Source organism: Homo sapiens, chromosome 12, assembly GCF_000001405.40.
Source record: "Homo sapiens chromosome 12, GRCh38.p14 Primary Assembly".
NCBI lineage: Eukaryota > Metazoa > Chordata > Mammalia > Primates > Hominidae > Homo > Homo sapiens.
The window spans coordinates 68498038-68513172 of record NC_000012.12 but is presented as its reverse complement, the minus strand read 5'-3'; the positions used below and the strand labels follow the sequence as shown (position 1 = coordinate 68513172).

The 15135-nt window shown below is 39.8% G+C and overlaps 1 annotated feature.

Moving 5' to 3' along the window:
- Positions 4198-4398: a silencer, noted in NCBI's record as "peak1778 fragment used in MPRA reporter construct". NCBI's record gives its function as "represses an SCP1 promoter by STARR-seq MPRAs in K562 erythroleukemia cells {active_cell/tissue: K562}" and the evidence as "EXISTENCE:reporter gene assay evidence [ECO:0000049][PMID:32103011]".

The following is a 15135-nucleotide window of genomic DNA, read 5'->3' as shown; positions in this document are numbered from 1 at the left end:
CACCTTATACAAAAATCAATTCAAGATGGATTAAAGATTTAAACGTTAGACCTAAAACCATAAAAACCCTAGAAGAAAACCTAGGCATTACCATTCAGGACATAGGCATGGGCAAGGACTTCATGTCCAAAACACCAAAAGCAATGGCGATAATAGTTATTAACATTGAGTATTAGTCCATTTTCACACTGCTATAAAGAAATCACTGAGACTGGGTAATTTATAAAAGAAAGAGTTTTATTTGACTCACAATTCACACGGCTGGCGAGGCCTCAGGAAACTTATAATCATGGCGGAAGAGGAAGCAGGCACCTTCTTCACAAGGCAGCAGGATAGAGAAGAGCAGGGGAAATCACCACTTATAAAACCATCAGATCTTGTGAGAACTCACTCACTATCACGAGAACAGCATGGGGGAAACTGCCCCCATGATCCAATTACCTGCCTCCCTCAACACATGGGGATTACAGGTCCCTCCCTCCGTACATGAGGATTAAAATTCAATATGAGATTTGGATGGGGACACAGAGCCAAACAATTTCACATTGGTAACCTAATATTGATACAAAACTGACGTTAATACCTTTCAGCCTTGAGCATCCTTGAATGATCTAACAACCAACTTGAGAAAATCTGTAAGGGAAAATGCATTTTAAAATACTCATTTGGTTCCCTCAAGGGGAGCAGAAACCTTGAGTTGCTATTTTAGGACTCAGGCTCTTGGTTGAAGGTAGAAGTTGCCCTATGCCTCAGGCTTCACTGATGTTCTGCTCCTGCTGAAAGGTAGCTGGGGCAATTCCCAGTCCAGGAAAAGATTTCTATGCTTATTATTGAGCAGAATGAATCCTTATGAACTCAAAGACTTTTCCATACTCCAGGAGAGCTGCTGTGTTCAATGACACAGAAAAAAATCTCCCTTAGAACAAGAAGTTGGTTTTCCTAAGAACATTCTAATTCTCAGATGCTTTCCAGAGAAAGGGAGTTACCTTAAATCTTTTCCTGGACAAGGTAGGGTTCAAAACAGATATTCCAATAAATAAATAACTGACTGAAGTTAGAGAGCTCTCTGTTTCCAAAAACAGAGAAACAATGCCATGTAAGGCTGGCTTCATGGGCATGTGACCTGCGTCATTACACAGAATTCTGCACTTAGAGGACTCCACGCTGAATTTAAGATGTGGCTATTGCCATCTTGAAATTCTTTTTTTTTTTTTTTTTTGAGATGGAGTCTCACTCTGTCACCCAGGCTGGAGTGCAGTGGCGCGGTCTTGGCTCACTGCAACCTCCACCCCCTCAGGTTCAAGCGATTCTCCTGCCTCAGCCTCCTGAATAGCTTGGATTACAGGCCCACTGTAATTTTTGTACTTTTAGTAGAGACGGGGTTTCACCATGTTGACCAGGCTGGTCTTGAACTCCTGACCTCGTGATCCACCCTCCTCGGCCTACCAAAGTGCTGGGATTACAGGCGTGAGCCACCGTGCCCGGCTGAAATTCTTAATAATTTTTGAACAAGGGAGTCCTGCATTTTTGTTTTTCACTGGGCCCTGCAATTCATGTAGCAGGTCCTGATTGCAAGAGAGTTGGAAAAAGACTTCCAAAGAGGAGCATTCCCTGCAAGAATGCTCCAGGACAATACTGAAAACATGTCTTGAAGAAAAGTTGTAATTTTTATTTATGTAGCCAGGCAAGGGTAAACTGAAAACACAGCTACCACAAGTACTGCTTTATAAACATCCCACTGTAACAGTAGCTATCATTTATATTGTGCTTACCATGTGCCCAGCTCTGCGTGTGTTAACTCGTTTAATCATCATTATATCCCCCCGTTCACAGTTGAGGATATGAGGCACAGAGAGGGTAAGAAAAGCTCCAAAAGTCACACAGGTAAGTAAATGACAGGGCCTAGATTCACACCGAGGCAGTATGGCTCCAGAAGTTTTTTTAAATGTAATGTTTCTCCCTTTTACTAAGGAACAATGACATTGGTTTGCAAAAAGATATTTTGCACTGTCTCTAGTCTAGCTATTACTTTAGAATTCAGAGAAAGCTGATGAGCTAGGGCCTTTTAAAGACTTGAGTCAATGTGTCCTTGAAAGCTAATAGTGAATTGCACCATAGAACAAGCACATTCTTTCCTTTGGAACATCAGCTACGGACTATTTTATAAAGGGGAAAAGTACTAACATATTATACTTTATTGTCTCATGACTGGCATTCAATTTTGACTCAGATTTAAACTACAGTACTAAGCTTATATGCTAGAGGCAACATACTTATCTTTGGAAATTTACAGTATATTTTATTCCTTTCAGGGAATTGGGGATTTGGCTCCTACTTGCTGAATATGTTACAAGATTCTGTAAAGCCATTTTTAAATTAAAGAGACTTTCTTTGACTTTATTTTAAAAAATCTTTGTAGGCACCATAGCATATTGGTTGAAAGGATGGGCTCTAGAATCCCACAGCTGGTTTTCTGGCCCTTGTATGTGCATCTGTAACAAATATAATAAAAACAGACACCTCACATGGCTGCTATGAGATTAGGAAGGAGCTAGCACTTCCTAGAACATAGTTAACCTCAGGCTATATGAATAATGGTTTTATTTATGGACACTGGTATAGAATAGTGCGGTAGATGGATCTTGGGGAGATAACTTATGAGTCTCAGTTTCTTCAGTGTAAGTTAATAACACCTATCTCACAGAGGGTTATAAGGATTAAATAAGATACTGTATAAGAAATGTGTACTTAGCACAGGGCTGGAATATGGTAAGTTCTTATTAAAATGTAACTACTATTATTCTATTTGAACTTTCTTTAATGTAGGTCTAGGTAATTCCACAGTGAAATTTGGAGCTCAGCATAAAACCATTTTCATCTTTTTCTTCTTCTAGGCCATACTCTGTTAGAAGAATGAGGTAAATATTGGTCTTTATTGTACAGTGATACTTTTATGTATTAATTATGCATTTAAAAATAAACTTTGGAAAGACAAATTGATCTCTTTCCAATGGTCCTTTTATAAAAAGCTATTAAAAATAAGGCATAAAAGAAATCACATTCATTCATTATTAATACCTTATAGCAGTGATTACATCAGCTCAGTCTGCCCATCGATCTGCCTCAGAGCCCTTGCCTCAACTGGAGCTCAAAGAGCAGACAACAGCACAGAGGAGGCAAAGAGCAAATCTTCTCCCGGGTCCTCCAGATCTTGCTCTCTCAGTAAGGCCCTTCTTCTCCTGCACCTGCAGCTCTCCTCCTCCATTGATTTCTTTCCCTTGGCCCATCAATGTGCTTGAGTCTTTTTCTACTTTATGCACAAGAAATAAGACAAGCTATATTCCCCTCAAACTTGCTGTTCCCTTGAAGTGCCGTTTTATCTTTCCCTTTTCTTTGACTGCTAAACTTCTGCTAAAAGTGGTCTTCACATCCTTAACATCTCCCGCTTTTTACCTGCTCCTTTCACCCCTGTGGCTTTCCAGAAACTGTTATTTTGAAAGCATTAAGAACCTCCTAATCATCGAGGCATTTAATTTTTAGACTTCATTCTTCTTGATCTGTCTGAAACACGTGACCTGTTGAAATCTTGACAGTCTCTTACCTTCAGAAACATTGTACTTTTCTTAACATTTGTGCCTTGGTTTGCTCATAGAAAATGTAATGATGTCAGCTTTGCAGAATGTTGTAAGAATAAAACAAAGTGATATCATTCACATATTTAGCAATCAGCAAAATTAGCATCACTTTCCCCCGCCCAGACTGTAAGCCTTACACTTAGCAGATGACTTTTATATCTGTATTTTTGTTTTGGCCTTTCTCTACAGGTTCGTTCTTCCTTTTTAACAGACGGCTGCACAACTATTTCTACTTGTAATAATAAAATCATGGATGGTTAGGGCTGGAAGCATTCTTAGAGAGATCACTCTCAATTTACAGTGAAGGAAATGGTGGTGTGGAGAGTAAATTGATTTGAGCCAAGGCTGCTTGGTCAGTAAGGAAGGCTTCAGTTTCAAACAATAGGAATCCCAATGCAATTGGCTTAAGTGTATGATCTTCCACAACAAGAAGTACAAGACTATGGTATACTAGGGTTGGTTAATGTAGCAGTTTAATGACAACATCAAGGGCTCAGGTTGCTTTCCTGGGCTGCCACCGTCAGCACATTGGTCTTTCTACAGGCCAGCTCCTGGAGGTTAGATGGCCTCAGCAGTTCCTGGTGTCTCAGCCAGACCTGACAATGAAAGGAGAGGCCATCTCTTCCTGTATGGCTCCTTTTATGAGTGAGTGTACACTACTCTGCAGCACACAGCCGACTTTCCTTCATGCCTCATTGGCCAGATTTGTGACATGCTCTGAGAGTGGGACATGTGATTGACTCAGACTGATTAGAATTCACCCTTGGAGTCTGAGTCTCATCTCCTCTGAAGCATATGGCACTACCAACTTAGGTGGATGCAGAAGCTAAATCTGGATTCTTAGATTAGAAAAGAGGAAGGTGCAGTGAGAAATGGGTGTTGGGTAGGCTTCGACAGTGTCTGCCACTGTCTCACAGTGAGTTTGTGGCAGTGTCACAACTAGAACCCACTACCCAACCTTCTTTCAATAATCGTTATCACCTCTGAACACTTGAACCAGACTCACCATGACTAGCATCTGACTGATTACCCTTCTACCCAGACTTGTCCAATATCATATTCTCCTATGTACTAACCATTTTCTCCTAAAGGTGTGTGATATGGTTTGACTGTGTCTCCTCCCAAATCTCATCTTGAATTGTAGCTCCTATAATCCCCACATATCTGGGAGGAACCTGGTGGGAGGTAATTGAATCATGGAGACAGGTTTTCCCATGCTGTTCTTGTGGGAGTGAATAAGTCTAATGATATCTGATGGTTTTATAAAGAGCAGTTCCCCTGCACATGCTCTCTTGCTGACTGCCGTGTAAGATGTGCTTTTGTGTCTCCATCACCTTCCACCATGATTGTGAGGCCTCCCCAGCCAGGTAGAACTGTGAGTGCATTAAACCCCCCTTTTAAAAAAATATTAATTATCCAGTCTTGTGTATTTCTTCATAGCAGTATGAAAAGGGACTAATACAGTATGCTACAATTTTCTTCAAAATGTATTCGTCTTTGACGCCTACCTTGTTTGTTCTCTACAATGATTCACTCTCCAAATCTTATTTAATCCCTTGATTAAAAATCTCACACATTCATCATTTTCTTTCCATTATTGCTGTTATCTCTAGGCCACATCTTTATTATATATGAATTAGATTATTATAATAGTCACATAACTGATTTTCCTGATGCAACTTTCTAACTCTCATTTATCCTTCAAATCACTGGTATATTCATTTTCCTAAAACATTCATCTCACCTTTGTGAAAACTTTGGTAGGGGGGTGCCAAGTGAAACTAAGCTGTAATAATTTTTAAAAATTAGGATAAAGTATGAATTCAAAGTCGTCAGTTCCTTTTTTTTTCTAGTGTTAGAACTTATTTATTTATTTATTTGAAACAAAGTCTCACTCTGTCACCCAAGCTGGAGTGCAGTGGCGCGATCTCGGCTCACTGCAACCTCTGCCTCCAAGGTTCAAGTGATTCTCCTGCCTCAGCCTCCGGAGTAGCTGGGATTACAGGCAACTGCCACCATGCCTGGCTAATTGTTTTGCATTTTTAGTAGAGACAGGGTTGCTATGTTGGCCAGACTGGTCTTGAATTCCTGACCTCAGGTGATCTTCCCACCCTGGCCTCCCAAAGTGCTGGGATTACAGACTTGAGCCGCTGTGCCAGGCCTCTAGCACTGGAATTTACAAATTTCCTTGGAGTAGATACCCTTTTACCTGAGAAGAATTGCTCGAAGGTCTCTTTCAGGTAGAAGTGATGTCCAAAGTTACCATTGTTCAGGGGAAGGTATGTAACAGAACTTTTGTCTTATATTGACAAATACTGTCCTTCTGGGAGACTGTAAAACAACAACCACAGCGATAATGACAACAAGAACAATAACCCTCCATGGGTATATTTGCATAAGGTCTAAGGAGCCTTCTGGGAAGTAGTGGGTAAAACACTGACACTTGCCTTTTGAAGTTTAAAATTATTACTATAATATCAATAGATTAAGATGGATCCAACTGAGATCATTTAACAAAAGATATCAGGTGCTTTTGAGGAGAAACTCACCACAAGAGAAAAGAGAATTTGGAGTGGTAACCCAAGTCATACCCCTAAGGGCATTAGAATGGGAGTGAGGAGGCCTGGCTTCACAATGGGTTTGGTACAGCAAGTAAGCATCCGCAACTAATGCTATCTGCCCTTAAGAGAAGAAACTTTGGAAAAATGCTGTGTGTGTATATAGACATGTGTAGGTGTGATATGGTTTGGCTGTGTCTCCACCCAAATCTCATCTTGAATTGTAGCTCCCATAATTCCCACGTGTTGTGGGAGGGACCTGGTGGGGAATAATTGAATCGTGGGAACGGTTTCCTCCATACTGTTCTTGTGGTAGTGAATAAGTCTCATGAGATCTTATGATTTTATAAGGGGAAAGCCCTTTTCTTGGCTCTCATTTTCTCTCTTTGCCACCACCATGTAAGACATCCCTTTGCTCTTCCTTCATCTTCTGCCATGATTGTGAGGCCTCCCCAGCCATGTGGAACTATGAGTCAATTAAACCCCTTTCTTTATAACTTACCCAGTCTTGGGTATGTCTATTGGCAGCATGAAAACGGACTAATACAAGCTGTGTATAGACTAGGGACCAAACTCATGGGAGGGGTAATTTAAGAGCCCAGTACAGAAGTTTCTTAGGATTTCCATAGCTGTCTAATACTGAGGGGGAACAATTTTCACTTGCTTTTGAAGAATTCTTGCCAACAGTGATGGCAGTGATGATGAATCAGTGACTTTATTCTCTTTGGAAGGGCCTCTGGAAGTTTGTAGTCACATTTTTACTGAAATAATGTAAGAAAGATATAACAGCATTCAGCTTGGAAAGGAAGAAGTGAAACTCTATTCACAGATAACATGATTATTTAAATAGAAAACATGATGCAATCTACAAAAAAAAATTCCTGGAACTAAAAGTGACTTTAGCAAGGTTGCAGAATACAAGATCATACATAAAAATCAATCGTATTTTTATCTGCTGACAATAAATAAGAAATTGAAATAACCATTTGAGATAGTATCAAAAATATGAAATATATGGAGAGTAATCTGATAAAAATACTTGAAAGACCTGTACATGGAAAACTACAAAACATTGCTGAGAGAAATTAAAGACCAAAATAGAGAGATATACTGTGTTTTCAGATTGGAAGACCAAATAATAATATTAATTACTCAGTCTTAATATTGTTAAGGTAGCAGTTCTCTCTAAATTAATATGTAGATTTAATCCAAATAAAAATCTAAGCAGGTTTTTTTTTGTTGTAGAAATTGACAAACTGATTCTAAAACTTAGATGGAAATGCAGAGGACCTAGAATAGCCCAAGCAATCTGAAATGAAAGAACAAAATTGGTGGACTTAAATTACCTGACTTCAAGGCATATTATAATACTATGATAATCAAGACAATGTATTATTGGTATCAAGGTAGACAAATAGATCAATGGAACTGAATAAAGAGTTCAGAAATAGACCTACACGTAACACATATGGTCAACTGATTTTTGACAAAGGTATAAAGGCGATTCAGCCTCCCAAAGCGCCGTGATTACAGGCATAAGCCACTATGCCCAGCCTAGGCAAAAATTTCTTAGATGCAACACCAAAAACATGAGCCATTAAAAAATGGATAAATTAGACCTCATTAAAATTAATAACTTTTGCTTTTTGGAAGACACTGTTAAGAGAATGGAAAGACAAGCCGACACTGGGAGAAAATATTTGCAAATCACATAACTGATAAAGCACTTGTATCTAGAATGTATAAAGAACTTTAAAATCTGAGTAATAATAACAATAGTTTAAAATGGGCAAAAGATTAGCGCACTTTGAATTTGACACTTCATGAAAGAAGCTATAAGAATGGCAAATAAAAACATAAAAAGACATCCAACATTGTTAGTCATTGAGGAAATACAAATTAAAGCCACAGTAAGATATCATTACATATCTATTAGAATGTCTAAAATAAAAATAAAGATGACTACCCCAAGCATTTGCAAGGATGTGGAACAACTGGAATTCTCATAACCTGCTGGTAAAAATATAAAGTGGTAAACCACTTTGGCAAATTGTTTGGAAGTTATTTGAAAAGTATAATATTAATTAACCTACTATGTGACCCAGGCATTTTATGGCCAGGTATTTATCAAAGAGAAATGAAGACATACGTCCATACAAAGACTTGTACGTGAATATAGATAGCAGCCTCATTTGTAAGAGCCAAAAACTGGACACACTGCAAGTACCTATCAAAGAGGTGTATGAATAAACAAACTGTGGGGCATCAACACAATGGAATATTACACATTAGTAAAAAGGAACAAACTACTGATACACCCAACAACATGGATGAATCTCCAAAAATCATGGAATGTAAAAAGCCAGCCTAAAAAGAGTCTATACTGTATGATTTCATTTATATAAAATTCTATGCAAACTGAGCTATAGTGACAGAAAGCAGGTCAGCAGTTGCCTGGGGATGGGGCAGAAGGGAAAGATTCCAAGGAGTATGAGGACATTTTGGGGGTTGATGGATATATTCATTATCTTGATTGTGGTGATGTTTTCATGGGTGTATACATATGTCATAACTTATCAGATTTTACAGTTTCTCTTTTTTTTCTTTTTGAGACAGAGTCTTGCTCTGTCGCCCCGGCTGGAGTGCAGTGGCACAATCTCGGCTCACTGCAGCCTCTGCCTCTCAGGTTCAAGAGATTTTGATTTTTGCACCTCAGCCTCCCGAGTAGCTGGGACTACAGGCACATGATACCACGCCCAGCTAATTTTGGTATTTTTAGTAGAGATGAAGTTTTGCCATGTTGGCCAGGCTGGTCTTGAACTCCTGAGCTCAAGTGATCCACCCAGCTTGGCCTCCCAAAGTGCTGAGATTACAGGCGTGAGACACCACCCTGGCCCAGATTTTACACTTAAACAGTTAATTTTATGTCAGTTATGTTTCAATAAAGTGGTGTTAAAAAAGAGATATTGTAAACATGTAAAAATAGGTAACGTGTGAAATATTGGTTATACCTACTGAATCTGCATTTCTCCAACTGATAACCTTCAAATCCTTGGACCTGGTCTCAGCCTAAACTTCCAGCTGTATCTCCTAGTGACATCTTAAATTCCAGTTAAAGGAGACTGTTTCCTGAATAGATGTTAGCTTTTCTTGGGCATTTTGTCACCCTGACATGAGCTGCCCACCATCTTCTCATCCCCTCACCAGATGGGATCTGAACTCCCACAACGCTTTGCATCTTTCTTTACGGTACTCATCACTCTATGTTACGGCTTACAAACACGTTTCTTACCTCCCCTATAAGCTGAGAGATTCTTGAAGGTAGTGACCCATATATTTATTATTTATCCTGGTACCCCAATGGCATCTTGGAGAATGTCTTGTAAGTAGTAATGATAAATATGTTTAACTGAAGAGTTTTTAAATACTGTCCAAAGGATTGAAAACGTTTCACTGTGCTTAAAAATATGAAACCTTTCCTAATTGTGGTGCATGCAATCTTCATTCACATAAGACTGGGTGAGTATTTCTCTTATATTTAGTTTGCTTGATGTCTTAAGCTGTCACAAGTATCTTTTGATACTTATGATCTCTAGTGACATTTTTCATTACCTAAGTATCAGTAGCTATTCCTTGTAGTAGATTTGCAATTGCTTAATGATCACTCTTATAGTGCAGCAGTCCCCAGCCTTTTTGGCACCAGGAACCAGTTTTGTGGAAGACAATTTTTCTATGAAATATTGGAGTAGTGGGAAAAGGGTTGCGGGATGAAACCGTTCCACCTCAGATCATCAGGCATTGGTTACATTCTCGTAAGGAGTGCACAACCTAGATCCCTTGTGTGCGCAGTTCACAGTAGGGTTCGTGTTCTTATGAGAATCCAATGCCACCACTGAAGTGACAGGTGTGACAGGAGGCAGAGCTCAGGCTGTAATGCTGGCTCACCCATAGCTCACCTCCTGCTGTGTGGCCCGGTTCCTAACAGGTCGTGGACTGGACCCCTGTTACAATGTGTACACTCACATTTTGAGCAAAATGGCATAGGTCGTAATGCCTATATAGTAGAGAAAAATAACAAAATTCTGTTTGTGAAATATTTCTTTGTATTTTTTGATCCCATGATGACATAATAAAACCCAATCCCTGTCTAAGAAATAGTTTGAGATAAAATCTAAGAATAATTTTGTTGGAGAGTTAAGGTGAACAAGAAACTGGGTTAAAAGGAGAGCTTTATTTCAGCTTCATATATCTGACAAAATTGGGAAATTGGATAAAAGGAACTTAGGAAATTGTACTGAATGAAAATGTACTGATATTTTGTATTCGTTCTGATGTAAAAGCATCTATTTCCCTCACACAGAGATGGACACATAATGGTCTCAAATCTAATGGAAGTGCTCATTTCCAAGGGTATTGTAGTTTTGAAATGAATTTGTTTGAGGATTCTAGGTCTAATTTCACATTGTTAAACTCTAAAATTACAGAAGCCTTTTCCAAAGTAATACTTGAACCTCTGAATGGCCTCATGGTGCACCTCAAGCATAGGCTTGTTGTATACAAAGTTTGATGGGCTTGTTTGCAATACAACAAACCCTTCAATGCAAAACATTCAAATCCTCCTCTCTATAGCAACTGATGCCATATCTTAGCTCTTGCCTTTCCCATGGGCTAGATTTCTTTTTCTTTTCCTTTTTTTTGAGACGGAGTTTTGCTCTTGTTGCCCAGGCTGGAGTGCAATGGCATGATCTTGGCTCACTGCAACCTCCTGCCTCCCAGGTTCAAGCAATTCTCCCTGCCTCAGCCTCCCGAATAGCTGGGATTACAGGCATGCACCACCACGCCTGGCTAATTTTGTATTTTTAGTAGAGACACGATTTCTCCATATTGATCAGGCTGGTCTTGAACTCTCGACCTCAGGTGATCCACCTGCCTTGGCCTCCCAAAGTGCTGGGATTACAGGCGTAAGCCACCGTGCCCGGCCTTCCATGAGCTAGATTTCTTCCTTCACTCATGTAAGAGCTTGGCCTGGGTGATGAAGTGACAGCCACTAAAAGTTTCTAAAGCAGGTAACAGGGCAGAGGTTAAGAGTTCAGGGTTTGCAGGTAGACCTTGGTTTGATTTCTAATTCTACCATTAGTTCTGTGGCTCTGATCTGGTTATTTAACCTACTAAGCCTTAATTTCTTCCTCTGCAAAAGGGGTCCCGTGCGTGTTAAGAGCTTAGCATGGTGCCTGGCACAGAAAGCACACATCAATATATATTTATGCTGTTAATATTATTAACAGAAATATCTTAGTTTTACTTCAAGAAAATAGCCTCCTTTGCTTTTTATGCATGAGTCACAAATTGGGAATTACTTATTCACATTGTTATTATAAAATAGCTTTATTGTGCTAATTTTAAAAACCTGATAGTTTGGATGGGGACAATTTTCTTAAAAACAGCTCTGGAGAATTTGGTGGTTGTGTATCTAGTGTTAAAAAAGCCAGCCCAGCTTTGCCACAAAGACACAAATATCAGTGGCTCCAAATAGATACACAGATGGCCTTATGGAGCCCCAGATATTGTCTTACTCAGTTCACTGTGGGCAGGAAGAAGACCTGTTTTTAAGGAGAGGGAAGACGACTATAAGTGGTTAAAAATAGGATGCTTCTCCGTCCTCTCTCTGCTACTTTCACCCTCCATGTTTCCGACTATCCCCATTTTCCCTAAATTCCTCTTATCATCTCTGTACATGTTTCCCTCCTCCTTTTCTACTCTAGAAATAGTACATATTATGAGAGAGCAAATACTTGACACCATCCCCAGAAAGTCAGTGGTGGGGATAATGCATTTTTAATCCCAAACACCTGGCCTCCTTTTATTTGCCCACCGGAATGAGGTTTCTTGATTATTCAAAAAAGTCCTCTTACGCTGGTGCTCACAAATGAGTAAAAAGGTTAATAAATTTCAGGTCTACTTAGTAATCCAGGGAGATAGAAGTCTGCAAACAGAGATTTTTCTTTTTAGGTTGAATCTGACATTATGAAAAGCTACCCATCTTTTCTCATACTCAAAGTATTTACCCAAGCTTTAAACACTGGGTAGCAAGAGTGTGGTGAAGGAGCTAACATTAATCGTGGGACCATTTTGCGGAATCTCATGCACATTATCTCATTTAATTTTCATGACAATCCCTTAAGGAAAGCAACATCGTTCCCATATGACATAAGTGAGGACAGGAGGGGGCTTTGACATATCCTATCACAGAGAGGCCCATGCCGATGCAGTTTCTTTAAGCCCTGCTGATCCCTTGTAAAATTTAGTCATCCTCTGCCGCCGACCTCCCTCATCCACACAGTGGTATCATGCTGCAATACTTTGATACAAGTGCCTCTTTGCCACTGTGCAATGCCAGTTATGGTGAGATATAGCTCCCATTTCCAGCCACCTTCTGTGGCCAGCCAATTCATGAGACCATGGACAAGTGCAGACTCCATCTTACTAGGAGAGGAGACAGTGGAACTGATAGCCCCTCCCTCAGCAGTACAAATACAACATCTGTCTCCTCAAAGCTATTTCCTCTGCTCTGGTTATGTAGAGGCAGGCATGCCAGTGCCTTTATGTTGACTGGGGCAGTGGAGGTGGTGGAGGATGATAGTGGGAGGTAAGGAGAGTTTTCTGAATTGATACCTCTCAGTAAACCCTGCATGGCCATGGAAGGGGTACCTGGTGGTTTTGGTCTTTGGTTACAATTCTGGGACAAGAGCATCACTTACACATGGATTATCAAATTTAGCTCTTATAACAACCGTATGAGGAAGGTTTGTTCATGTAATATAGTAGTTGCAAACATGGGCTTGGGCTTTAATTACAGGTCTTATATCATTCACGTCAAGTTCAAACATGACCACTGTTGTGCCTATTTCCTCTCTGTATCATGGGAAGAATGATAGTTCCTACCTTATGCTATTGTGAACAGTAAAAGAGATAACCTACATGGTAGTAAATGCTGTGTAAGTGTTTGCTATTGTTATTTTTATTTTCCAGATGAGGAAACTAACACCCAGATAGGTTCATAGCTGTTGAAGATCATATAGCTAATATGTGCCTCTAAAAGCCATGCTCTTAGCCATTCCTTCACGGTGGTGTTACTTAGCCTTTTCCACATTCTGGCACACATGGAAAAAATGTGTGGTTATAATAATGTTATTACTCATACACAGCATTGGGGACAATTAATAGGATAGCTCAAATCTTAAGGTAATTGGTCTGGGAGGCCCTGACTGTGCCAGGTCCCCTCTGATTAACTGACACTCTGGCTGTACTGGAGCAGGGAACAGAACCTGCTTCTCCAGGCCAATAGTTAGGTAAGTCTTCATGGAGAAAATGATGTCTTAGGTGTGGCTGAAAGATTAGTAAAATTTAGTAGCAAAAGCAAAGGATGAGAATGGGGAAGTGGGGAAGTCTGCTTAATTTTCTCCTGTAGAAAATGGAGATCATGGTAATACCTGTTTCACAGGTTAAAAATGAAATAAAGGAACATACATGGAAAAGGCTTTGTAAGATGTGATATCAATGTTAGCTGTTACTATTCTTGAGGTAAATGAATAAAATATTTAAAACCGTAAAAGTGAACAGGGCATAGTGGTCGCAGAGATAGAACACTGCTACCAAACATTCACTTGGGGAAAGTTTACAGCTTTAATAGGACTCGTATCCTTTCATTCATCCATTTATTCATTCATTCTTAACCAAATAAAAGTGAACATAAGCATTCTCCAACATTTGTTATGAGGCTCAGCCTATTTTCATCAATAACTGAAGCAAGTAGGAATAAGATCAAGAATCCTATAATCTCAAGCCAGGTGTGTCTCTGAAGTCCATAGTAGTTTGGCCATATCTGGGAAATGGCATACCAGGCTGTCTCTATGTGATAGTCCCAGGGCTTCTTGGGTGAGGACTTGTCCAGAGGGGCAAGGCAGCTAGGCAGAAGCAGCTGGATCCCAAAACAAAGCTTCGATCATTGGAGGGAAGGGGTTTGGGGCTGTCACTCAGGTTGTCTCTGGCTCAGGGAGGGACATCTGCATCCTGTAGAGGGAGCATGGGAAGGTTGTGAGTAAAACTTGCACTGACAGCGTTGTCCATCCCTGGGGTCCAAGGACATCTGCCTTGGACCTCCTGCCCTAAGCTAGAGTAAGCCAAGAAAAAAGAAGGGAAGCGAGAACTTCTTTCCAACTATGCAACACAATACCGAGACACCTTGCCACTCTGAGGGCTCCATGGCATCAGCTGTGGTAGGAGATGTCAGCACCTGCTGGAAATGGTGGCAACCAAAGGATGGAGGCCACAGAAGAAGAGAGAATAGCAGGTGCTATGTGGATGAGAATCAGATTTATTTACGGAAAATATTCACAGAGTGATTAAGGACAAAAAGTAGGAAAACATGGGTTACATACAGAACAAGGCAAAGATAGTTAAACCTTGAAACTTTTCCTAAGTCTTCATAGCCAATTCATTTCTGTACCCTTCAGCTACATACATGTTGAAATCCAAGATGAGCTCTGTAGACCAATTCATCTCAAAATATTATTTAAGAAGTTTTTTTTATTTTCATAGAGAGTTCATTTAAAATTTGTCCAACTTTGACATTTTCTTTTCTGAATTTGTTGTAAAATTCAAGTTGGGTAATTTACACAAATGCATCAATATTTTAAAAGCTACCAATCTTACACATGCAAAAAAGAAGGTTTACAATCTTCAGTAATCTTTAATGTAACACACATTCATTATATATGAGCTCTCAAAGGAGAAACTTGCGTTGTTCGGAATCCTAAGTGCTACACGATGGCGTCTTTGGGAAACTTAAATACCACACATTTGCTTTGTAAAACCATCGTTGAGTGACTTTAGTGGATTAACCCTGAAAGTCATCATGACTGTTTTGTCTTTAATAATCTGGA